At 43.8% G+C, this 27,330-nt stretch overlaps 1 protein-coding gene across 2 annotated transcripts in view; it reads left to right on the top strand.

The window, feature by feature from the left end:
- Window positions 1-27,330, top strand: part of CPPED1 (calcineurin like phosphoesterase domain containing 1) — a 144,089-nt gene that overhangs the window by 15,519 nt on the left and 101,240 nt on the right. For both annotated transcript variants that reach the window (NM_001099455.2, NM_018340.3), the window contains exon 2: window positions 6,966-7,184. In NM_001099455.2, coding sequence (NP_001092925.1) covers window positions 6,966-7,184 — 219 coding nt within the window. The remainder of the gene's footprint in view (window positions 1-6,965; window positions 7,185-27,330) is intronic.

Genomic DNA, 27,330 nt, shown 5'->3' with positions numbered 1-27,330 from the left:
TGAGATAAGTTAAGTATGTGAGACTAGCCCTCAGGTTTATATTACCATCCATGGCTGACTCTCAGCTGAGCCCAGTGATTTCACCTCCAGGTGTTCATGCTTTGTGTGATCCCCTGCCCTTAAGGTGGGCTGCCCTGGTAACTTGATTGTAATGAGCAGAACACAGCAAAAGTGATGGGGTGTTAATTCCATCATGATGTTATATAAGATTGTAGCTTCCATTTGCTAGCAGACCCTCTGCCTTGTGTGGTTCGATGAGGCAAGTCTCCATATTGCAAGCTGCCATATTGGAGAGGCCCATATGGCAAGGAACTGAAGGCATCCTCCAGGCAGCAGCCAGTGAGGAACTGAAGCCATCAGTCCTACAACCTACAAGGAGCTGAATCCTACTAACCACTATGTAAGTGAGCTTGGAAACGGATCCTGCCCCATGTGAGTCTTCAGATGAGACCTCAGCATTGACCAACACTTCTGTTGCAGCTTGTGAGAGACCTTGCAGAGGACCAGCTAAACCATGCCAGACTCCCACAGAGGCTATAAGATAATAAATGTGGGTTGTTTGAAGCTGATACATTTGTGGTAGTTTGTTACACAGCAGTAGACAGCTAAATTAACTTCTCTATGAATCTGTCAAAAAATTAACGTTGAAAAAGTTAAATTCGCTGGCCAGGTGTGGTGGCTCATGCCTGTAATCTCAGCACTTTGGGAGGCTGAGACGGGCAGATCACGAGGTCAGGAGTTCAAAACCAGCCTGGCCAACATAGTGAAACCCCATCTCTACTAAAAATACAAAAATGAGCCAGGTGTGGTGGCACATGCCTGTATAATCCCAGCTGCTCAGGAGGCTAAGGTGGGAGAATCACTTGAACCGAGACGCAGAGGTTGCAGTGAGCTGAGACCACGCCACCGCACTGCAGTCTGAGTGACAGAGTGAGACTCCATCTCAAAAAAAAAAAAAAAAAAGAAAGAAAAATTCATTCTGGATATTCTTATTCATAACAGATATAGGTGTTTTAATTAAATAAATGTATGTTTTTACCACGTATGAACACTAAATACCCTATAGGCATTATCCAGAGCTTTGTATGAGTTGTTTCCAAAGTTTATAGTCTTGTTTTGATATCATCTGGGTCAGAAATGAGATCTTAATCAATTCTTTTTTCTTTTATTCCTTCCACACATATTTGTCTCAAAATTTGACCTTGGTTTTCATCATAGTCATCAGTTAGGGCCCCTGACTGGGTTAATTTTTTTAAGTCAATTTGGGAAGAAAAATACAGACTTCTCTGTTGTGCACTGGAAAACGTGTATGTATGTGTGTGTGTACGTATGGGTGTACACATACATGTGTGCTATATACTCATACTTGGTAATGGGTGCTTTTTCCATGAAGTCATGTAGTAATAAATTAGAACATACTAATTAGTAATGGATTCCCTGATTAACTTCTTACTTTTGAGATGGAGTCTCTCTCTGTCACCCAGGCTGGAGTGCAGTGGCACGATCTCGGCTCACTGCAACCTCCACCTCCCAGTTCAAGAGATTCTCCGGCCTCCTGAGTAGCTGGGACTACAGGCGCATGCCACCATGCCTGACTAATTTTTGTGTTTTTAGTAGAGACGAGGTTTCACCATGTTGGCCAGGATGGTCTTGATCTTTTGACCTCGTGATCCACCCGCCTCGGCCTCCCAAAGTGCTGGGATTACAGGTGTGAGCCACCATGCCCAACCCAACTTCTTACTTTTCAAAGAATCTTGACACTTAGTTTTGCAAGGCAATGTAAAGGGTGATGACTAGATAGTAATGAATAATACAGAGAAATAAGAAATATTTAGGGCCAAATCCATGACCTGTACATAGGCAGAGACCTAACAATGACCAGAGAAGTATGCAAAACCAAACCAAAACAAAATAAAAAATATACCACCACTAACAACCTGAACAAAGCCCCTCTGAAGTGTTAGTTTAAGGAAACGAAAGTCACTGTGCTTCTGTTTCTCCTCCAACCCATGTAAGTTGCAGGCCACTCGAGTTCCTTGGTTAGTTGTATGTAGGCTGGTGCTTCCCAAATTTGGATGTGCGCATAGGTCACCCCGGGGTTCAGTAAAATGCAGATCCTCACCCAGTGGATCTGGGCTGGGGCCAGAGATTCTGCATTGTGAATGTGCTCCCAGGCGACGCTGATGTCACACCTGGAGGAATAAGGCTGTGGCCCAGCCCTGCCATCTCTGTGCCATGAGCAACCTGCTGCTTTCTGCTGTCAGGTAACCCTCACCTTGTCCCTCTTCATCAGGCTCATTGCCAGGCTAGTTCTCCTCGTTAATTAGCATTGTCAGGCATGTACTGTTTGACCGAGTAATCTCATATTTAAGCTAGGAAAGGTAGGGGGAAAAAACTGGACCCCTGAGTGTCTTTTGGTTTTTTTTTTTTTTCCAGTAATGACAAATACTGTCATACTCAGAGTGCTTCAGGAGTGGACCTCAGTTTATCCATACTTCCATGGCTCAAGTTGCTAAAAGAGTGCTTCCAGAGGGTTTCCAGAAAAGCTGGACTGTGCCTGGGGACTGTACCCTGGGGGTAACTCTGGGCTTTGGTGAAATAATTTTAATGCAAGTATTGTTAAGAGGTCACTTTCATCTGAGTGTGGTGGCTCATGCCTATAATCCCAGTACTTTGGGAGTCCAAGGCCAAGGCGGGCAGATCATTTGAGGCCAGGAGCTTGAGACCAGCCTGGCCAACATGGCGAAACCCCGTCTCTACTAAAACTACAAAAATTAATCAGGTGTGGTGCTGCATGCCTGTAATCGCAGCTACTCGGGAGGCTGAGGCATGAGAATCACTTGAGCTTGGGAGGCAGAGATTGCAGTAAGCAGAGATTGCAGCATTGCACTGGAGCCTAGGTGACAGAGGGAAACTTTGTCTCAAAAAAAAAAAAAAAAAAAGAATTCACGTTTGTCTGGGTGTGGTGGCTCATGCCTGTAATCCCAGCACTTTGGGAGGCTGAGGCAGGAGGATCGCTTGAGCATGGGAGAACAAGGCTGCAGGGAGCCATGACTGTGCCACTGTACTCTAGCTTTGGTGACAAAGCCAGACCCCATCTGTAAAAATAAATTAAAAAAACACAATTCACTTTCATAATGTAAAAAGCTGCCCTTTTAAGGGATGGAGAGGTATACATTTAAAAGAGATTCCTCCTTCTAGAATTAAGCATTGTAAGCTCCAAATATCTTTAATTCAGTCTTGATAAAAAGAAATTACGATGAGACCAAAGACCACCAGCTTCTGTAGCAGGAACCTTAAGAGCATCCAGTTCCTTTGGAGAATGAAGATTCCTGAGTAAACAAATTACCTCATTAGATAAGTAAGGTAGATTGAATACTGATATGTGAGCTGTCGTTTATTTTAGGTCAAATCTGTTTATTTTGTACTTTGTCACATAAAATTGAGATTCTAAGTTTTTAGTAAGTAAACAAGTAATAATGAAAGATTTGTTTTAATAGCTTCAAGGACTATTGACTTTTTGAAATTCTGACTATTCGTCATAGGAAACGATTTGTTAAAATGTTTGCTATAGGGAGCTGTTCATAAACTCTGTTGTAGAAGGTTGATTTATGCTGCTACTTTGGGGTGCCTGTGTTCACCTCCCTTATCTGGTTCTGATTAATTCATCCAGCTTAAATGGCTCTGCAAACAGCCTCAAAAGTAGAAACACAGCTAGAAGCATTCATTGGTGTAAAAAAGGTTATTATGCAAGTAAAATAAATGATTAATAACATAAAGACACAAAGCAGAGTCTCAGTTTTTTTTTTTTTTCATGACAAAATGGTCAGATCTTCAGGAAATCTTGTTGTCTACTTCTTGACCATTTATCCCTAATGCCTCATTTGTAGGGATCTGTTACTGTGTAACAAATTACCCTGAAGTTTCACAGCTTAAAAAGCAAATATGTATCATGTCACAGGATTTTGTGAGGAATCTGGGTACAGCTTAGTTGAGTTCATCTGCCACAGAGTCTTATAAGGCTTCAGTCAAGGTATCTGTTGGGGCTGTGGTGTCATCTGAAAGCTCAACAGAGGAGTGTCCTCTTCCAAGCTGACTCACATGGTTGTTGGCAGGATTGGTTTCTCATGGGCTTTTGGCCAGAGGTTTCCCTCTGTTCCTCAGCACATTGGCCTCTCTGTAGGGATATTCACAACATGACAGTTTTTAATCTCCAGAGCAAGGGCTCTGAGAAAGAGAAAGAGATGAAAGTCATGGTCTTCTTTTAGCCCACTCTTGGAAGGGACTGCCATCATCATATTCTGTTTATTAGAAGCAAGTTGCAGCCCACACTCAAAGGGAGGGTGTTGCACAGGGATGTGAATATCAGGAGGCAGGGATTTGGGGGGCATCTTAGAGTCTTTCTGCCAACACAGTCAGTGCTCAGTGAATGACAGTGGACTCCCTCAGTCCCTGCTGGATGTGCCATATTGCTGTCTTTCTCCATGAGATGCACACACCAGGGTTTCATGCAGCCTTTGTTCAGATTGACTTCTGGCCCATTGTAATTGAACACTGTGCTGTAAGTTGAGGACTGTTGGGTTTATGTACATGTACAATTTGTTCTGTAACGTGTGCAGAGGTATTTTTGTTCACTTTTTTTTTCTTTAACTCTGAAAAAGGAATTAAGAAGGGAAAGGAGGCTTGAAACCAGAGTCCATTCTAAGGTGATAGTGAGCTCAGTGTGATGGGTGGGAAAGTGGCCATGGAATTTAAAAAGGTTATCACTGGCCCTTACTTGCCATTTAGATCTCAGCTTAAATGTCACCACTTCAGAGAGGCCTTTCCTATCTTATTTATTTATTTATTTATTTATTTAATTTATTTATTTAGTTTTGAGACAGAATCTCTCACCCAGGCTGGAGTGCAGTGGCATGATTTCGGCTCACTGTAGTTTCCGCCTCCCAGGTTAAAGTATTCCTCTCACCTCAGCCTCCCAAGTAGCTGAGACTATAGGGATGCACCACCACATCCAGCTAATTTTTTGTATTTTTAGTAGAGATGAGGTTTCACCATGTTGGCCAGGATGTTCTCAAATTCATGACCTCAAGTAATCTGCCCGCCTTGGCCTCCCAAACTGCTGGAATCACAGGCGTGGCGCCTGGCCCTGTCTGTCTAATTTAAACTAGCCGTTGCCTCACTCTTAATCTGCATAGTCATTAATACTCTCTGATTCTATTCCCTGCTTGTTTACTTGCTCATCTCCCCCAACGAGCACTGAGTGCGAGGACAGCAGGGACTCATCTGTCTTGGTCACCCTCATATTGCCAGCACCTCTCACAGGGCCTGGCAAAGCAAAGGCTCCCAGTATGATACTCAATAGACAAATGAATCAAACACATGGACGTGAACTGATTCCAAGGAGCTTTTTGGAAATTACAGCATCATCATGACTTCCAAAGGAAATGCCATTTATTCAGTTAACATGCATTGTCCATTAAATTATTATTATTATTATTGAGATAGAGTCTCATTCTGTCACCCAGGCTGGAGTGCAGTGACGTGATCTTGGCTCACTGCAACCTCCGCCTTCCGGGTTCAAGCGATTCTTGTGCCTCAGCCTCCCAAGTAGCTGGGATTACAGGTGCCCACCTGTAATTAGCCACCACGCCTGGCTAATTTTTATATTTTTGATAGAGATGGGGTTTCACTATGTTGCCCAGGCTGGTCTCAGACCCTTGACCTCAGGTGATTCGTCCATGTTGGCCTCCCAAAGTGTTGGGATTATAGGCATGAACCACTGTACCTGGCCATACATTAAATTATGAAAAAAAAAAAAAAAACAGCCTCAAGGTGATGGAGCAGCTCTGTCCCACCACTAAGCGCTAGCAGGCCATTTAGCAAGTTCTCTTGCCTCTCCGGGCCTCAGTTTCTTCAGAGGATAAATGAGGGGGCTGTAGATCGGGGGTCCTCAGACTGTGCCGTGTCCAGCCCCAGATCTGGCTCTGGCATTGGAAGTTCCAGATGCTATTCTGTAAGAGCAAGCTTCTTTGCTTGGAATGTTTTTTCAACATTGGTCTGTCATGTACGATTTTGATTATGGAAAGGATTCTGTGGCCAAATAATTTTTTAAAAAGTGAAACCCACAGCACTTCTGTGCCCATTAATGGCCATTCCAGCTCTGCCCAAGCAGGCACTGGCGCGGCAGTTCTGGCAGATAAGAGTAGAAACCCTAAGACCCACAAAGCTTTGGCCCAGGAGAGTCAGTCGGAAGAGCAAGCAGAATGATTTCAGGTGGCCTAGATCCCTTTCCAAGAACATAAAAGAGTCCCCACCCCCAGCCTCACACCTCACGGATGCCCACATCCTACTGCCTTTGAAATGTTAGCATCGATTTTTCTTTTTTCTTTTTTTTTTCTCCCACATTGACTTACTCATTCCGAGATTTCATTTCTGGCACCACACCTCCCACCAGATAGCCAGAGCTTCCAAGCGCCAAGTTTTATAATTAAAATTCTGTCACATCCCCCGAAACGGTGGAAATGGTGCCACGAAGCCTCACAGAAAAGATGTGTAAGCACTTCACCTAGTAATTTAAATATAATACTTCTGGCAGCATTCAATTTGGGGAGTTTTATTCTAATTTAAAGACGATTATGGAGCACGAATATCTTCTGCATTGGGTTCTCTTGTGGCCCGTGCTTCCTTTTGGCTGTCTAGCTTGTCAGCAAACAGCTTGGTGGTGTGGCTGCAGAAGCCCACGTGGACAGTTCTGGCCTTTGGGTATCACCAGGTCCCAGGCATAATTAGTATAAATCAAAATCCTCTAGACTATGACAGGAAAATGGTATGTTTGAACCACAGCTTATTAAAATGACCTACTTAATTTAAGAAAAATAGTGTATCCACTTTGCATGGGAAGCTGGTTGCTTTTATGACAGATTTTACAAGATTTCTCCTTCTTTCTCCCTCTCTCTTTTTTTAAGAAAAGGAAAGCGAATGGAAAGGCCCATTCTACTTCATCCTGGGCGCAGACCCACAGTTTGGGCTGATCAAGGCCTGGTCCACTGGGGACTGTGACAATGGCGGTGACGAATGGGAACAGGAGATCCGTCTAACTGAGCAAGCCGTCCAGGCCATCAACAAGCTGAACCCCAAACCCAAATTCTTCGTTCTGTGCGGCGACCTCATCCACGCCATGCCAGGTAAGACTCGGGTCATCGCTTGTGACCTTTTCTCCTTCAGCCGGTCATGACTGCATTTGGGCAGGAGAAAAAAAGATTTTGCTTCGAAGGCATCTTTGCTCAGTCATGGACCGTTCTTTCGCTTCATGATTGTTGCAGTATCATTGAACATCAGAAAGTGCACACTCATGTTATATTTAGAGTTTGGCGAGATTAATCACAGTAATTAGGCACAGCTACAGTTCTGATGATTTGAGCTTAATATGAAAAATGGAACAGATTCCCACACATCACCTTTCTGCATTTCCAGGGACAAACTTGAACTGCTTCCAGACACTATATCCATAAATATAATCTTCTCTCCTCATTTCCTTTCTTCTTACACTTTTATTTCTCCCTTATTTGTTGGTGCTTTTTTGTTGCAAGTGACAGAAATCCAACTTAAAACAGGATTCCCTTTTTTTTTTTTTTTTAAGGTATGTGTTGCCTAATAGGACTGTAAAGTCTGGGAGCAGACCTGGGTTGCAGGTACAGCTGGATCTAGGGGGTCAGCTTGGTTATAAGGACTTGGTCTCTCCATCACTCTGATCTGCCTTTCTCTGGGTTGACCTCATTTACGTTCAGGCTCTCTCTAGATAGTGGCTCCTGGGAGGTCTACATTTGTATCCTTTTGTCAGAAACCAGAACAGAAAGAAAGTGCCTTATTCTGGATGGTCCAAAGTCCCAGGCTGGCCGGGTGCAGTGGCTCATGCCTGTAATCCCAGCACTTTGGGAGGCTGAGGTGGGCGGATCACTTGAGCTCAGGTGTTCGAGACTAGCCTGGTCATCATGGTGAAACCCCGTCTCTACTAAAAATACAAAAATTAGCCAGACGTGGTGGTGCATGTAGTCCCAGTTACTCAGGAGGCTGAGGCATGAAACTTGCTTGAACCCAGGAGGCGGAGGTTGCAGTGAGCTGAGATTGTGCCACTGCACTCCAGCCTGGGTGAAGGAGTGAGACTCCATCTCAAAAAAACAAAACACAAACAAACAAAAAACAAAGTCCCAGGCTCATACCCCTCTGGCTCACATGGCCCCCTTCCACCAGAGTGTGGGGTCAGCTCCACTGCAACCACGTGCCCTAAAGAACAGGACAGTCTCCCCCGAAAAAAGTGAGATGTTGGAAATTCAACGATGACAGACACCTTCTAGAACTCTCTTCCTATTTATTTTGCCTACTCTGATGTCCTTTTCTCCCAGGCAAAGATAAAGCCCAGCAAGCAGGTATAAGCAAACGGAGAGTGCTCCTGTCCCTCAGGGAGGCAGGGGACCTTAGACCATTGCAGAAAACACAGCAGTGGGTGTGGGTGTCTGTCTGGGGCTAGTTGTACCTTGTAAACCGAGGCTCTGAGTTCTGTGATGATGTCTAACTCCTTTAGAAGCCGAGGTACCCTGTAGTAAGCCTGAGTGTATCAGTTCCTCCTCATGGTGGCTCTTTTTTCTGGCAGCCCACTTATCTAGAACAAAACCCATAATGAAAACATGAGAATGGCCGGGCGCGGTGGCTTATGTGCTTTGGGAGGCCGGGACAGGTGGATCACTTGAGGTCAGGAATTCAAGACCAGCCTGGCCAACATGGTGAAATTCTGTCTCTACTAAAAAATATAAAAATTAGCCGGGTGTGGTGGCAGGCACCTGTAACCCCAGCTACTTGGGAGGCTAAGGCAGGAGAATCGCTTGAACTCGGGAGGCAGAGATTGCAGTGAGCTGAGATCGCGCCACTGCACTCCAGACTGGGTGATAGAGCGGGAAGCTTAGTCTCAAAAAAGAAAAAAAAAAAATTAGCCAGGCGTGGTGGTGCATGCCTGTAGTCCCAGCTACTGAGGAGGCTAAAGTGGGAGGATCACTTGAGTCCAGGAGTTTGAGGCTACAGTGAGCCATGATCGTACCACTGCACTCCAGCCTCCAGACAACAGAGAGAGCCCCTGTCTCTAAGAAAAAAGAAGAAGAAAAGAAGATTTCAAATTTTTCTGTTCAGTGGTTTCTTCTCTTTAAAAACAGAATGTTATAGGGCTCACTGGAATTATATAACATGTTCTCGTAGATGTTTACCAACTTGTTCTGAATTCTGTTGATGTATTCAGTCATATTTCAAAATCAGATTTAAAATAAAAGTTTTTCATGCAATTATGTTGCTTTTTAAATAAGATACACTGAATATACATTAAACACTATAAATTAAAAGATATAGTTTTTATGATCAGCCCCGCCAGTTGGTCAAGACTTCATAAATGTGACTTGGCAAACTTTTGAACGTGAATTTTACATGCAGTGCAACTCAAGCAGAATGTATAATTTGTTCTGGAGACTTGGACTGTTTTCTGGGGTTTTAATTGAACCAGTGAAAGGAATGTAACTGTTTTGAATATTGTGGTTTGAGATTAAACAGAGCATTTTAAAACTAGTTACCATTTTTTAATATGCAATAAGTGGTTTCCCTCTCATTTAGCTCATAGACAGGGTTAGACACTAGAAAGTAATTATTTGCTTTGACTACTTAGCACATTCTTCATTATCAAATGCATATATTAATAGGCAAATAAAATCAGAAAGCATACTTTTAGTTCTACCATAAATAGTATCTTGGCCCTGGCCAGGCACAGTGGCTGACACCTGCAATCCCAGTACTTTGGGACGCCAAGGTGGGCGGATCACCTGAGGTCAGGAATTCAAGACCAGCCTGGCCAACATGGTGAAACCCCGTCTCTACTAAAATACAAAAATTAGCCGGGCATGGTGGTGTACACCTGTGATCCCAGCTACTCTGGGGGGCTGAGGCAGGAGAATCGCTTGAACCCAGGAGGTGGAGGTTGCAATGAGCAAGATTGCACCACAGCACTCCAGCCTGGGCAGCAGAGCGAGACTCCATCTCAAAAAAAAAAAAAAAAAGAAAGAAAGAAAGAAAAAAGAAAAGAAAATATCTTGGGCCAAGTGGATTTAAGTTGAAAATGGAGAAAGGCCAGGCATGGTGGCTCACACCTGTAATCCCAGCACTTTGGGAGGCCGAGGTGGGTGGATCACTTGAGGTCAGGAGTTCGAGACCAGCCTGGCCAACATGGTGAAACCCCATCACTACTAAAAATACAGAAATTAGCTCAGCATGGTGGCGTGGGCCTGTCATCTCAGCTACTTGGGAGATTGAGGAAGGAGAATTGCTTGAACCCAGGCGGTGGAGAATCCAGTGAGCCAAGACTACACCACTGCATTCCAGCCTGAGTGACAGAGCAAGACTTCATCTCAAAAAAAGAAAAAAAAAAAAAAAAGAAAATAGAAAAAAAGAACTTTCATTTTTTTTTTAATGAAAGTAATAATATGCTTTTTCTTATAAATATCTATTATAGTACTTATCATCCACAAAAATGTCTGTGTGCAAACTAAGTGCCAATTACAGTGTTAGATGCTATGGATGTAATATTGGAGACAAGAGACCAGGTCTTTCTGTGGAACTAGAGTCTTGGCAGAGAAGCACAAAAATGTGATGGGAAGAGGAGTCCTTGGTGCCAAGCCCATAGGAAAATCCTTAAGAGATACAGGCTTCTTTGTTTCACACAAAGTCCATTTAGTTTTGAAACACATTTTTGTTTTGCAGGCATCTTTTGGGTTATCTTGGTATTTTATTCTATTATAAAGCTCCTCTATGGGGTAAGCCACATTGTAAGTAGCAAGTGAACATTTGTGCAAATACTGAGACCCATTGATTTTCATCCTTCACTCTTAATTTAGGGTTACTCTTGTCAGTCCTCCTGATGCTGAGGTATCGACCCACTGGTTTTGTCCCCAGAAGCCTTGTTAGATTTCAGCAATTACGTGTGAAGCTGACAAATCAGAACATGATGATACCTTTAGGGTGCAAGAGATTCCTTTGAGCCTTTAGAACAGTTTGTTACTAACATATACATTCATCCCTGTTTATTAAAAATTGGCATAACCACACAAAAACAGTTAATACAGGAATAATTCTTCCCTTGATATAAAGTTTCCTTGAAGAGTTCTTCATGTATTCAGCTGCACTTGGGCAACTATTCTGTGACTTAGTTTCAGTTGATGATGTAGCCCTGGGAAGTCCTCTGTTCTGTAAAGGGAGGCAAGCCTGCTTTAGTATTTGTATTAGTCTGTTTTCATGCTGCTGATAAAGACAAATTTCAGACTGAGTAATTTATAAGCAAAAAGAATAATTGCCTCACAGTTCCACGTGGCTGGAGAGACCTCACAATCATGGCAGATGGCGAAAGGCACATCTTTTTTTTTGAGATGGAGTCTCACTCTGTTGCCCAGGCTGGAGTGCAGTGGCATGATCTTGGCTCATTGCAACCTCCGCCTCCTGGGTTCAAGCGATTCTCCTGCCTCAGCTTCCTGAGTAGCTGGGACTACAGGCACACACCACCACACCCGGCTAATTTTTGTATTTTTGGTAGAGACGGGATTTCACCATGTTGGCCAGGCTGGTCTCGATCTCCTGACCTCGTGATCCACCTGCCTCAGCCTCCCAAAGTGCTGTGATTACAGGCGTGAGCCACCACGCCCAGCTGAAAGGCACATCTTATATGGCAGCAGACAAGAGAGAAGAGAACTTGTGCAGGGAAACTCCTCTTTACAAAACCATCAGATCTCGTGAGACTTATTCACAGTCACGACAACAGCATGAGAAAGAACCCCCCCAGTTCAGTTACCTCCCACCAGGTCCCTTCCACAACATGTGGGAATTGTGGGAGCTACAATTCAAGTTGAGATTTGAGTGAGACCACAGCAAAACCATATCAGTATTATTCCAAAGGATGGTATGTTAGTTTCCTGTTCCTGCTATCACAAATTACCACCAACTTAGTGGAATCAAACAGTTCTCTTACCATCCCAGGGGTCAGAAGTCCAACAAGAACCTGCAGCGGTGTGTTCCTTCTAGGGGTTCCAGCTTCTAGAGGCCAACTGCGTTTCTTGGCTCATGCTCCTTCTTCTGCCTTCAAAGCCAGCAGCATTGCACCTTTTCTCCCGTCTGACCTCTGCTCCACCCTCTCATATTCTGTTACTCTGATTCTCCTGCTTTCCTCTTGTAAAGATCCTGGTGATTATATTAGGTCCATCCAGATAACCCAGGATAATGTTTCCATCTCAAGATCCTTAACATAATCCCATCTGCAGATTCCCCTTTTGCCATATAAGGTAGCATATTTGTAAGTTCCAGGAGTTAGGATGTCGAACATCTCTGGAGGGACATTGTTCAGCCTACTGCAGATGGCAGGGACTGGAATTCAGGGTCTGTTATCTGCCAGGAACTGTGTTACTATCTTATCTACTCATTACAGTCTTGCAAAGGAGGTGTCATTGCTATTTCCATTTTAATTGATGGGGAAACTGGCTCAGAGCAGTGAATTGCTTTTCCCAAGGCCACTCAGCTTGTAAACTGGGAACTCTTGTTCATCTGTTTCCAAACCTTGTGCGCTTCGTTTTGCAGCCTGGCTGGTCAGACAGAAGGTGGTGCCCAGAGCAGCAGATGGAGCTGTTAGAGATGTAGAATCTCTGCCCTGCCCAGACCTAATGGATCTGAATCAGAATTTTAACAAGATTCCCAGATGAACTGTATGGACAATGAGGTTCAAGAAGCACTGATAGATTGAGCATCCCTAATCTGAAAATCCAGTATGCTTCAAAATGTGAAACTTTTTGAGCACTGACATGACACCATAGTGGAAAACTCTACACCTTTGGTCCCAAGCATTTTGCATAAGAGATACTCAACCTATAGTAGTGATGATGAGGATGATGGCAGTGCTGCAGGAAAAGTACCCATAGATGACATGGTGAAAATGTGTGTCTTAGTCTGTTTTCTGTTGCTTATAATGGAATATCTGGAACTGGGTCGTTTATAAGAAATGAAATTTATTTCTTTCAGTTATGGAGGCTGAGAAGTCCAAGGTCAAGGGGCTACATCAGCTGAGGGCCTTCTTGCTGGTGGGGACTCTCTCTGCAGACTCTCAAAGTGGCACAGAACATCACATGGGGAGGGGGCTGAGTGTGCTAACTCGGGTCTCTGCTCTTCTTAAAAAGCCACCAGCCCAGGGCAGTGACCCACATCTATAATCCCAGCACTTTGGGAGGCCAAGGCAAGTGGATTGCTTGAGCTCAGGAGTTGGAGACTAGCCTGGACAACATAGTGAAACCCCGTCTATACAAAAAATAGAAAATTATCCAGGCATGGTGGTGCACACCTGTAGACCCAGCTACTTGGGAGGCTGAGGCGAGAGGATTGCTTGAACCTGGGAGTCCAAGCTTCAGTGAGCCGTGATCATGCCACTGCACTCCAGCCTGGGTGACAGAGCAAGACCCTGTCTCAAACAAACAAACAAACAAAAAACACACAAAAAAGCACCCTGTCCCACTCTCATGATAACCCATTAATCCACTAACTCATTCATTCATTAATCCATGAATGGACTCATCCATTCATGAGGGCATGGCCCTCACGATCCAGCCACCTCTTAAAAGCCCCACCTCTCAGAACTGCCACACTGGGGATTACGTTTCAACATGAGTTTTGGAGGACACAAATATTTAAACCATAGCAATGTGTGGTGAGCTTTTGAAGGACTAGAACAGCATGCATTCATAACAGATCAAGAAATTGTGTCAGTTAATAAAAGAGATTTCTAAGACAAAAGCCCTTGTTAATAAGGCAGATGACTCTGGAGGGAACTTTTTTTTTTTTTGAGACAGTCTCACTCTGTCCCCCAGGCTGGAGTGCAGTGGCATGATCTCGGCTCACTGCAACCTCTGCCTCCCGGGTTCAAGTGATTCTCCTGCCTCAGTCTCCTGAGTAGCTGGGATTACAGGCGCCTGCCACCACACCTGGCTAATTTTTGTAATTTTAGTAGAGATGGGGTTTCATCTTGTTGGCCAGGCTGGTTGAACTCCTGACCTCAAGTGATTGCCCTCCTCGCCTCCCAAAGTGCTGGGATTATAGGTGTTGAGTCACTGAACCCAGCTTGGAGGGAACATTTTTAAAAAGCCATCTAGCAGAATGCCTCCTCATCCCTGGCGGACTCACTTTCTGGTCCCTCAACTGCTTCTGATGTTTCTTCTCACCTGAAAAAATAAAATACAGTGCACAGGAGCCTTTGAGTCAGAACGCAGCATTGTGGGTGGAGACTGGAAGCCTGCTGTCATCTGTTGCTGCTGAACAGCTGAGGCAGGTATTCCAGTGATGCCACTGTGCTGCTTAGTTTCCCTGGGCACACTGTTTTCTCCCGTGTTAATGGTGTGTCATATTTTTTACTGTTAAGTACTTAGGTGTGAATAGGTGTAACAAAATGATTGTTTACTGGTAGCATGTAAATTGAGAGTCAGGAATCGCGGTGATGCCAAATCACCACAGATTGTTCACGTGGGTGGCTGAGACAGACACTTTTTATTTTATTATTTATTTGTGTATTTTTATGTATTTTTATTATTTTTTGAGGCACAGCCTCACTCTGTCGCCCAGGCTGGGTACAGTGTCATGATCTCGGCTCACTGCAGCCTCCACCTCCCGGGTTCAAGCAATTCTCATGCCTCAGCCTCGAGCAGCTGGAGTTACAGGTGTGCACCACCATGCCCGGCTAATTTTAGTATGTTTAGTAGAGACGGGGTTTCACCATGTTGCCTAGGCTGGTCTTGAACTCCTGGCTGGAAGTGATCTGCTTGCCTCGTCCTCCCAAAGTGTTGGACTTATCAGGCATGAGCCACCACGCCGAGTCGGGGCCACTTTTTAATGTATTAAATGTAATCTTGTGTGTATGCAAGTGGTTTGTGAACATTCCTTTTAACTGATAATGGTGTATATCAGGAGAACCATTATTCCTTTAGACTTACACATGCTCAGCATTTAAAGGGAAATGCTTTAAGTTTGTAGGTTTTGCTTTGCTTTTTACACAACACTGAATAACGCAGGATGACCTCTTCTTACAGGACTTCCAAAATAGCCCTTTGATGTTCAGGAAAACGGCCACACATATATACTTTAAAAGGGTCTTTATGCAGAATGCTTAAGAGAGCTACAATGGCTTCTTTCGTTTGGGTCTTGCACTTGTACATAACCCCTTACCTACCATCTCAAAAGTTCAGAAAGCTCTGAAAACTAAGAGTTTTTTCTTAAGTTTGAAACTAAGCTGGTGGCAAAACTGCCTTCCAAGTGACAAAGGGCTGTTTATGGTCTTTATTGATCCCAATATTTAGTGAGCATATTCATATGTTTTGCTAACAAAATATTACTGGATTTCATTACAGGGCACTGCCCGAGTCCCAGCTTGAAGTATTGTTTAATATGTGTTCTATGACCTGTCTTACCATTCTAAAGTTAGAAAAACTTGGAATTTCAAATGAGATCTGGCCTAGGGGGTTTGGGATAAGAGCTTATGGATCTGCAAAGTTGATACTTTGGGATTTATAGATGAAGAAGCTTTTCATCACTAAAAACAGAAGGCTTTTCTGATTTAATGTCATTCCCCGAGTTAACTTTCGCACATCCATTGCCCAGTAACTGCATTTTCAGAAGTTAAAAGGGTCCCAGACATCTGATATTTGAATTTTGGGGACCATTTCTATTGGGACCAAAGAGACTCAATATGAAAATGGAATTGAATTTAGAAATGATTCCAACAAATGGAGGAGAGGGAGCATGCACAAAAGTGATATTTGCTATAGATAAAGCAGAATAATCCACTTAGGTAGAAAAGTCTGAACTTCAAGGTAAAGAAGGGCTGGATTTGTGCAGATATGGCTGCAAAAGTCTGGAGAGGAGAGGAAGCAAATCAGTAGAGTGCGTCTAAGAATGGGAGATGCTATGGGGAAGTAAAGTAGAATTACTGATGAAAGGAGTTAGGCTTTTCTATCAGGAAAATGCCCCAGTGAGACCTGAAAACTTCTAATTCATCTAGTTTGGTAGCTGTTCACCTTCAATTAGATGTCAAGGCCTAGACCAAGGTCCTGATAACAGTAGCCATGGCCAAATGACCATCAACACTCCTTCCTCACTAGGAATTTTGTTTTTTTTTGTTTTGTTTTGTTTTGTTTTTCAGACAGAGTCTTGTTCTGTTGCCCAGGCTGGAGTGCAGCGGTACGATCTCAGCTCACTGCAACCTCCGCCTCCCGGGTTCAAGCAATTCTCCTGCCTCAGCCTCCCAAGTAGCTGGGATTACAGGCATGCACCACCAAGCCCAGCTAATTTTTGTATTTTTAGTAGAGACAAGGTTTCTGCATGTTGGCCAGGCTGGTCTCAAACTCCTGACCTCAGGTGATGCACCTGCCTTGGCCTCCCAAAGTTCTGGGATTACATACATGAGCCACCATGCCTGACCCCCACTGGGAGGTTTCTAATTCTGTAATGAATGTATAGAATTGGGAAATAAAGCCATTGAACAAAGAATGCTTTGGTTTGCTGGGCTTCAGGCAAAGAATAAAGCCCTTTGTTTTTCTGTGGTTCCACAATCCAGGAAGGTTGATACTCATTTTCCTCCAGCTGGGCAGACACAAACCCATGAACATAATTCTGGTACAAGACAGGCCATAATAAGCAAAGCCTCGGAGGCATAATTTTGAAAACCAAAGCCAGGATTGAGGCTCTGGCCAGGAAAAGGCCTTATCTCATTGCTCCAACCTCTGCTAGTTCGCCTTCTCCCAAGCTTAGTTCCAAGTTCCTAAAGGGCAGTGGGGGTGTGTGTGTCTGTGTGTCCGTATTGGTGTGTACTTTCATTTAGTGCCCAGTGCAAGGCACGTGGAAGGTATTCAGTGAATGCTGGTTAAATGATTCACAGTTTGTTTCCCGTGATCTTTAGCAAGAAGCCAGCACATGGTAGGCACCCAGTACAGTTTTCTGGAACACATGAATAAATAGTCAATTCATTTATTTAACAAATCTGTATTGAGAGTCTACTTTGCACCAGGCACTATTCTAGATGTTTGTGCTGTGTTAGTGAATGAAACAGACAGAAATCTGTGCTTCACTTAGAAATAAGGAATATAGATACATGTAGATATATTGAAACATGAAGTTCTCCGTGTTTTTTGTTGTTGTCATCCTAGTCTCCTGTAGGATTTAAATGAGGGTAGATACGGATCTTTTTATTGTTACTTTATTAGATTTTTAAATTCTACAAGTAATATGTAGAGACATTCTCCTTGTAAATTTAAAATCTATATTTAAAATAAACTTTGACCACCCCCTAAGTGCTTCCCTCGGGGTCACTGTGGTCAAAAGTGTGCATCAATGTCAGCATGCTCACCCTTTCCCAGCCCCGCCCCGCCCCTCCCCCTTCCTTTCCTTTCCTTTCCTTTCCTTCTCTCCCTTTCCTTTCCTTCTGCCCTCCCTTTCCTTTCCTTGATATAGCCTCACTCTGTCACCCAGGCTGGAGTGCAATGGCGCGATCTCGGCTCACTGCAACCTCTGCCTCCCGGGTTCAAGCGATTCTCCTGCCTCAGTCTCCCGAGTAGCTGGGACTACAGGTGTGTGTGCCACCACACCGGCTGATTTTTGTATTTTTAGTAGAGAGAGTTTTGTTATGTTGGCCAGGCTGGTCTCAAACTCCTGACCTCAGGTGATCCACCCATCTTGGCCTCCCAAAATGCTGGGATTACAGGTGTGAGCCACCACGCCCTGGTCAGCATGCTTTTCTTAAATACAAACGTGATCATACTGTGCACATTGTTGTGTGATTTACTTTTTCTCCTTCCATCTGTCTAGAAAACCTTACATTTGTACATACATGTGAGGCTTTTAATAACTGCATTGCGTTCTGTGGATGGGGATTTCATAATTGGTTAATCTTGCAGTAACGCCAGGTGGGAGTTAATTTGAACAGTGCTGCTGTGAGCATCCTCAGACGTGCTGTTGTACAGTCAGGTAAGTATTTCTTTAGGCTTGAAGTCCAAGAGGGTTGCCTGGGTTTAGAATCTGCCTCAGCGCCATTTGCACTGAGAGCACACCAGGCCGTTCTCTTAGCAGTTCTCTGGGGAACATCTCTCAGGGACAGGGACTGACCAGGACTTTTCTTCCATGCTATCTCTTATTTGTAGCCAACAGCCTCCATCCCTTTCATGTAAGCAATAAGTTCCTGCACCGCCTACCATGTCATAGATACTCAGAACATTTCCATTGAACAGAAACCGTTTTGTTCATATTAAAGTAGGATCTGTTTGTTTTGTTTGGTTTTGTTTTTAAAGAGGCTCAGTTAAATCACGTTTATTTCCGCAGCTGTGTCATTAGCCTTGCGTTGTTATGTTTAAGTGTCTACACCAGGCTCCAAGAAATGCCAGGATTTAAAGACAATTTACCCTACAGTTTAACACAGAGAAACATAAAAAGGGAGTTCTATGCGTGCAAGAGAGTGATGCCATAGTTGAAATATCACCAGCCTCTGGAATGGGCCGGGGCTGTCTGTGCTCAGATTTTCCAGCAGGTCGCGTGTGGGTCGAATGCTGAGCAGTAACCTGGGAGCAATCAGCCAAGCCCCCTGGCTCCTGCACTCCTTCACATCCAGTATGAGCCCGGTGAAATCATCCAGGCAATCAGTGACAATGCCGCCCTTCTGCTGAGGCTGATTAAAAGTGGTTGGAACTAATTTACCTTATATGACTAATTAGGGAACTGGGAATATTACTTAAAAAGTTGTTTCTGATTAGGTGTGTGATCGCCCTTCCACCCCTGCCAGCATTTTCTACGTGGCAGTCCGGCAGAGGAGACACACTGGCTGCTGTCAGTCCTTTATTCCAAGTCTCGGCGTCTTAACCCATTTTGTGCCTCGGATTCCTTCATCAAGTTGCTGAAGCCCCTGGATCCCATCTCAGAATAATATTTCTAAATACACAAAATAAAGTTCCTAGGATTTTCGAGGAAACCAATTCTATTGAAATACGGTTATCAAAATATTTTTTAAATTATTGGATATAGTAATAATTCATGTGTTGGTCTATTATATAACACAGTCTAATAGCAGAGCTAATAACTGTCATAGTTTCAAAATAGCAGTTGAGTTTAAGGCCAGGCACAGTGGCTCATACCTGTAATCAGAGCACTTAGGGAGGCTGAGGCGGGTGGATCACTTGAGGTCAGGAGTTCAAGACCAACCTGACCAACATGGTAAAACCCCGTCTCTACTAAAAATACAAAATTAGCCAGGTGTGGGGGCATGTGCCTGTAATCCCAGCTACTTGGGAGTCTGAGGCAGGAGAATCGCTTGAACCCAGGAGGTGGAGGTTGCAGTGAGCCGAGATCGTGCCACTGCACTGCAGCCTGGGCAACAAGAGTGAAACTCCGTCTCAAAAAAAAAAAAAAAGAAAAAGAAAAAATGGCAGTGAGTTTAAACCATACCCTGAATTAATCTGCAACAAGTGTGATGTGATGGGAAAAAAAATCCATGTGATCTCTGTTGGTGTGAAATTCAAGGGGGTTGTTAATACCTCTGTAATTTCTACTAACTTCATAATAGAAGGAAATGCTAAATATCAGAAGTTCATGAAAAAACTGGTTTCCTCCCATCGAAGTTCACAGGATGAACCCCAGATCCCCATGGCCCCAGAATAAGAGCCCACACCTGTGTGTACATACGCACATACTCTTGTTCTTTGACTTTTTGGAGGTACCTTTTCATGGTCAACATGTGGCTATTTTAATTGACCAAAATATAAACTCAATGGTGAAACTGTACCTTTAATTAAAGGCCAGAAGTCTTAATCGTAGCTAGAAAAGTGTGGATATTTGATTATTCAATGAAAAGAAGTAGCAAGAGCTCAATAATAGGGACTAGTTAACAGTTGCCTTTTGATTAGGTTAAAAATAAAAAGCATAATCTTTCCGTCTGGGTTCCAGTGTTTAGATCAAAAAGTGAAAACAGAGAGCCTCGCCTTATTTATTTGTTCAGTGAAGCATTTGAGAAGGCTTAAAATGAGCAAAAGCACACAGTAGAGAAGAAATATGTCAGGACCAAAGAAAATAAAAGTTCATATAGGAAGACAAAACCGCAGGGCGAAACAGAAAGGTCTTAAGAGTCCTTTTGGTTGATAGAATTCAGTTGAAGGTTCAGCCAGAGAGAGGTTGTCAAAGAAACAACATCTTATCCGTATCTAAGAGGAATTCAGCTTTTCCTGGAAAATCTTATCTTTAAAGAAAATTTTTATGAAACTTTCCTTCTGGGGCACTAAGTCATACAGTGTCCAATAGGGCAGGGGTTTTTTTGTTTTTTGTTTTTTGAGTCAGAGTCCCAATTTGTCGCTCAGGCTGGAGTGCAGTGGCGCGATCTCTGCTCACTGCAACCTTCCTCCTGGGTTCAAGTGATTCTCTCGCCTCACCCTCCCAAGTAACTGGGACTACAGGTGCCCACCCCCACACCCAGCTAATTTTTATATTTTAGTAGAGATGGAGTTTCACCATGCTGGCCAGGCTGGTCTCAAACTCCTGACCTCAGATGATCCGCCTGCCTCAGCCTCCCAAGTGCTGGGATTACAGGCATGAGCCACTGCACCCCAGTAGGGCAATTTCTCGGCGTAGGTTTCTTTACCTGGGTGTGAGCTCCATGGATGGGCTTCATCCAGCCAGTGGGCCCTGTCAGCTCTGCAAAGTCCAGTGTGTTTGCATAGATGCTTGAGGTCGTGATGATGCTCTGGGGACTGCAGTGGGGAGAAGGTCCACAGCTCTCATCAGATCCTTCAAGGACCTGGTGATGGTTCAGTTTACGTGTCTGCCTGGCTGGGCTAGGAGGTGCCCAGATAGCTGAGAAGACATGATTTCTGGGTGTGTTCGTGAGGGTGACTGAATGAAGAAGATATGCCTTCACTATTTTGGGCAGGCATCATCCAATGCATTGAGGGTTTGAATAGAACAAAAAGATGGAGAAAAGATGAATTTGCCTCCTGTTTGAGCTGAGACGTCTACCTTCTCCTGCCCCTGGACATCGGCACTCCTGGTTCTCAGACCTTTAGATTCAGACCAGCACTAACACCATCAGTTTCTCTGATTCTCAGGCCTTTGGATTTAGACTGAATGAAACCCCCGGCTTACATATGGCAGATGGTGTGACTTCTTGGCCCCTGTGACCCTGTGAACCCATTCCCTTACTAAGCCTCCTCTTACATATCTGTGTATCTCCTATTGGTTCCCTGGAGCACATGACTGATACAGGCTCCATGACTCAAAAAAAAAAATGAGGACCTCTGAGCAACCATGGAGCCAAAATGACTTGGGATCTGAATGCTCTTGTGTTCTGCTCCCACCTGGGAATGCTGTCGCTCATAGCAGACCATGATTGTAGAGGCCGTTAGGCAAATCGGCTATGGCAGTCTGATCAGAGACACCAGACCAGCCCTCTGAGCAGAAGAGTCCTAGAGCCTACCTCCTGTGCTTCCTTGGAGTTTTCTGTTTTTGCTTTTCTTTTTATTTGAGACGGAGTCTTGATCCGTCACCCAGGCTGGAGTGCAGTGGCGTGATCTCTGCTCACTGCAACCTGCGCCCCCCTGGTTCAAGCAATTCTCCTGCCTCAGTCTCCCAAGTAGCTGGGATTACAGGTGCCCGCCACCACACCTGATATGGTTTGGCTCTGTGTCCCCACCCACATCTCATCTTGAATTGTACTTCCATAATTCCCATGTGTTGTGGGAGGGACCCAGTGGGAGATAATTGACTTATGGGAGTGGTTTCCCCCATACTACGAGATCTGATGGTTTTATCAGGGGTTTCTGCTTTTGCATCTTCCTCATTTTTCTCTTGCTGCCATCATGTAAGAAACGCCTTCTGCCTCCCAGCCACGTGAAGCTGTAAGTCCAATTAAACCCCTTTTCCTTCACAGTCTGAGGTATGTCTTTATCAGCAGCACAAAAATGTACTAATACAATACCCAGCTCTCTCTCTCTCTCTTTCTCTCTCTCTCTCTCCCTCTCTCTCTCTCTCTCTCTATATATATATATATTTGTATTTTTTTTGTAGAGATGGGGTTTCACCATGTTGGCCAGGCTGGTCTCGAACTCCTGACCTAAGGTGATGCACCCGCCTCTGCCTCCCTTTGGGGTTTTCTGGAGCTAATGAACGCCTTCTGCAGAAGTTTGCACAATCCCCTGGCAAATCAACATGCCATAGACAAAGCGAGTGTCTTTCTAGCTTGTGCTTAGCTGACTGGATTATTTACATCTTCTTTTTCATTGTTTTTGCTCTAAACACTCATTTCCTGGAGTTAGAACATTTTGCCTCCTTGATGGGCCTATTTTCTGCAACGAAATGAAGCACTGAAAAGGAGCATGATCCCAAAGGGGTTCAATTATCAGGTAATTGGTCAAGTGATCAGAATGTGGAATGAAAAAAAATAATGAGAGGTTGGAAAATGGCGCATTTGAATGCCAGAACGGGTGAGGACATATATTTCGCGAACCCAGAATTTAGAAAGTCACCTGCATGTTTCAAATTCTGTATGGTTTTTCCCCAGTTCCTAAGTAGTTTATTGGAAAGCCATGGTAGGTTCTATTCAATATGTATTATTTGGTTTGTAGAAAAAATTTACCATTCCCTTCTTTCTTTATATATTATTTGAGTGAAATACCACTGTCATCATCCATAAATATTCTTGTGAAGAAATTTTGTATTGATCTGCAAGGTAGCAATGTAACAAATTTCACTTGGATAATATACCTTTCTTAATGTTTTTTTTCCCGAAAGCACATTAAAGCATATTTTATATCATACAAAGCTGCCTATTATGTCAGACAGTTAAATCTCTTTTATTAATTATATCCTAAGCAGGTTAACAGTACAGATTCAACAAGAGTTGCTATAAATATCTAGCAGCCAGCATAATCAGCTGTAGCTGTTAGCTGCAAAATTAAATGAATCTTGTCTGATAACATGTGTAATTTAAAAACTGGTAGAACGTGATGAAGCTTGAGCTGTTAGCAGTGTGGGGCTGGATCACTACCTGAGTAACGTTTATGCCTGCAAAGTTTTAGATCAATGAATTTACATACCTTCATTAATTAGGAAGAGATAATGAACAGCATTAGAGATGGAAGGGATTATGGCTCCATAAATTCTCTGGGACTAGATGAAAGTAAATGTGTTTAATCAAAGGAATAAATCATTTACTTGAGTTCCACTCCAGACTTCTTAGGTCACAGTGTTCCCAGTGCTAGCGGGGACATAGTTCATATGACAGACATGGTTTACAGCGTGACACTCTTCTGTTCCACCAGTCACTGCTCATGACCTTGAGGCTGGCAGGTGAGGTCAAGTTGTTTGACTTTAATTCATTTACTCATTTGTTTCTCTGATGGGAACCGAGGGGATCTGCCTATGTGTTTGCCCCTGCTTAGCAAGAAACAAATACGGTGTCTGTCCTCAGGACACTTACAGGCTAGACAGGCAGAGTCATGAGGCATCAAGAGGTACAAATAAAACAAAATGGTGGCTCTGAGCCTGTGATACCCAAGAGGGTGGGAGGTGGTTGAGTTAGAGAAGGCTCCGTTGAAACTGGAGCACGACTGGGTGGCTCCCACCAGGCTCATGGTTTATTAAAAATTCAAATCAGGCCAGGCGCAGTGGCTCATGCCTGTAATCTCAGCACTTTGGGAGGCTGAGGCAGAAGGATCACTTAGGTCAGGAGTTTGAGACCAGCCTGGGCAACATGGCAAAACTCCAACTCTACAAAAAAATTCAAAAATTTGGCCAGGTGTGGTGGCTCACGCCTGTAATCTCAGCACTTTGAGAGGCCAAGGTGGGCAGATCACTTGAGCTCAGGAATTCGAGACCAGCCTGGCCAGCATGGTGAAACCCCTCTCTACAAAAAATACAAGAATTAGCTGGGTGTGGTGGCATGTGCATGTTATCGCAGCTACTTGGGAGGCTGAGGCACGAGAATCGCTTGAACTTGGGAAGTGGAGGTTGCAGTAAGCTGAGATCGCACCACTGCACTCTGGCCTGGGCGACAGAGCGAAACTCTGTCTCAAAAGAAAAAAAAAAAAATTAAAATCAAACAGTACCAAAAGGTATCCAGAAAAAACCTTAATGTCCCTGTCACCATTGACCTGCTTCTCAGAGAAAGCTACAGTTAATGCTTTTTCATGAAAAATTATGGAAACTTGTCAAGTATGGGTACACTTGCATGTGTAGCTTTTTGTAAAAAAAAAAAAAAAAATGCAAATGGGAGCAAAAAAGACACAATGTTTAAATACCTTGTTGTTGTCCTGGTCTTTCCATAGCAGGATATGCAGATTTGTTTCACTTTTTTCAGTGGACAAAATACCAGCTTGTATTAGGTTGGTGCTCAAGTAATGGCAGTTTTGCCATTACTTTCAATGGCAGAAACTGCAATTACTTTGGCACCAGTTTAGTATTTGAGGCTCAGACTGTGTCCGAAGTCCTGCCAGAACCAGCACTGCAGGGCCCCTCCTGGAGTCCATACGTTTGTGTACATGGGCAGCAGTTGAGAACTGGCCTGTGATGTCAGATGGCTTAAATTCAGATCCTGGCTCTCTTGTTTCCTGGCCAAATAGCTTTGGGCAAGTTATCTAATCTCTCTGTAGCTGAATTTCCTTATCTGTAAAATGCAGATAATAATGGTACTCGCATCATAGGTTTCTCATAAGACTTAAATGAAATAATCTATAAAAGTGCTTAGAATATTGGCTGGCATTTAATACAGCCCAATAACTACGATTACTTCTATTTTTAATAATGACTCTATTGAGATTGAATTCCATACCATGCCACTCATCCATTTCCATTCATTGGTCTTTTGTGTATTTGCTGAGTTGTGTAATGATCACCAAAATCAGTATTAAAACATTTTTACCAAGGCGAGCCATGGTGGGCTCATGCCTGTAATCCCAGCACTTTGGGAGGCTGAGGCAGGCCTCGGGAGGATAGCCTGAACGCAGGAGTTTGAGACCAGCCTGGGCAACATAGTGAGACCTCATTTCTTTTTTTTTTTTTTCAAGGTGGAGTCTTGCTCTTGTTGCCCAGGCTGGAGTGCAATGGCACCATCTCGGCTCACTGCACCCTCCGCCTCCCAGGTTTAAGCAATTCTCCTGCCTCAGCCTCCCAAGTAGCTGGAATTACAGGCATCCACCACCACACCCGGCTAATTTTTGTATTTTTTAGAATAGAGATGGGGTTTTACCATGTTGGCCAGGCTGGTCTTGAACTCCCAACTTCAAGTGATCCACCCACCTTGGCCTCCCAAAGTGCTGGGATTACAGGCGTGAGCCACCGTGCCCGGCGCAAGACTTCATTTCTACAAAAATTTTTTTTTTTTAATTAGCTGGGTGTGGTGGTGTGTACCTGTAGTCCCAGCCACTTGGGAGGCTGAGGTGGGAGGATTGCCTGAGTCCAGGAGGCAGAGGTTGCAGTTAGCTGATATTGTGCCACTGCACTCCAGCCTGGAGGACAGAGTGGAACACTGTCTCAAAACAAAACAAAACATTTTTATCAACCCAGAAAGAAACTCCGTCCCTGTTAGCTGTCATTCCCTATTTCCCTTCACCTCCGACTCCAGCCCTAGGCAGCCACTAATCCACTGTCCGTGTGTAGATTTGCCTATTCTGGATATTTCATATAAATGAAATATACAGTATGCGGCGCCTTGGGATCGACTTCTTTCACTTACCATGATGTTTTCAGGGTTTATCCATGTTGTAGCTGTTGTTGAATAATATTCTACCATATGGATATACCACATTTTATCTATCTACTGCTACTACTTTTTATTATACTATGAGATAAATTCTTAGAAGCAGATTGTTGATTAATTTGAATCACTTTATTCAGATGATAACATTAAGGAAAGTGGAAATTAGATTCTTGCCCTGACATACAGCATAACTAGTACAATATCATATTTTTACCTCCATTACTAAATAATATCCCTAGTGGTCCAAGAAATTGAATTCACCATCTCCGTGGCGTTACCCTCTTCCCCCGACAAAGAAGTAAAAATAAATGAGAGAGTATTTTTAATGTGGAAATTTAAGTCCCAGGGGACTAAGCAGAAGAGGGAGGCCCAGTTCCCTGCCCTTGGGCAGACCCCAGGCTGTCCTCTCAATTAGCCGAGGATATGTTTATTTTAAGACTGTAACTCTTCTTTCCATTGTTCCCATTTAAAAAAAAAATTTACCTTTCCTATGGTGCTGACATTGTTCACTTTTTTTTTTTTGGAGACAGAGTCTTGCTTTGCTGCCTAGGCTGGAGTACAGTGGTGCAATCTCAGCTCACTGCAACCTCCACCTCATGTGTTCAAGTGATTCTCATGCCTCAGCCTCCCGAGTGAGTAGCTGGAATTACAGGCACGTGCCACCATGCCCGGCTACTTTTTGTATTTTTAGTAGAGGTAAGGTTTTGCCATGTTGGCCAAGCTGGTCTCGAACTCCTGATTTCAAGTGATCCGCCCGCCTCGGCCTCCCAAAGTGTTGGTATTATACTATGAGCCACTGTCCCTGGCTCACATTTTTTATCCAGAACATGTTGTCTGAAGATTAAGCCCAAACTTTTGGAAAATAGGAAGCGATTTTACTAGTGTAGTTCCATTGCTGGTATCCATAGCTTTTATTTATTTCTGGTTAACTAGTCTCTTCACAGGGACACCATTTTTCCTGATTGATTCATTATCATTGGGTAAACCTAAGCGGCTACTAGAAATTGAGAAGAGCTTGTTACTAATGTAAATAATAGTACTCGTCATAGTATAGAGCCACAAAGATTGCTGTTTTATTATGAAATAGTTGTACTTTTATCCCTTTTTGCAGATGACCAAACTGTCAGGTCAAACAACTTGCCCAGCACCGCCCAGCTGATGGGTAGTGACCATGTGCTTCCAGCCCATCTCAGAAACTCAGAACTTCTCCTCTTTTCTTTTCTTTTTTTTTCTTTTTCTTTTTCTTTTTTTTTTTTTTTTTGAGACAGAGTCTGGCTCTGTCTCCCAGGCTGGAGTGCGGTGGCGCAATCTCGGCTCACTGCAACCTCCGCCACCCGGGTTCAAGCAATTCTCCTGCCTCGGCCTCCCAAGTAGCTGGGATTACAGGTGCCTGCCACCACGCAGCTTGGCCTCTTTTCTACCCCTGTTTGCCAACTTAAAGCCATCCAAGGGGGAACTCTTATCCGCTGCCTTCTGATGGGCTGAGGCTGCATGCAAAC

This window comes from Homo sapiens, chromosome 16 (assembly GCF_000001405.40).
Source record: "Homo sapiens chromosome 16, GRCh38.p14 Primary Assembly".
Lineage (NCBI taxonomy): Eukaryota > Metazoa > Chordata > Mammalia > Primates > Hominidae > Homo > Homo sapiens.
Note: the sequence above shows the minus strand (reverse complement) of the source record. Positions and strands in the feature narration are given on the sequence as shown.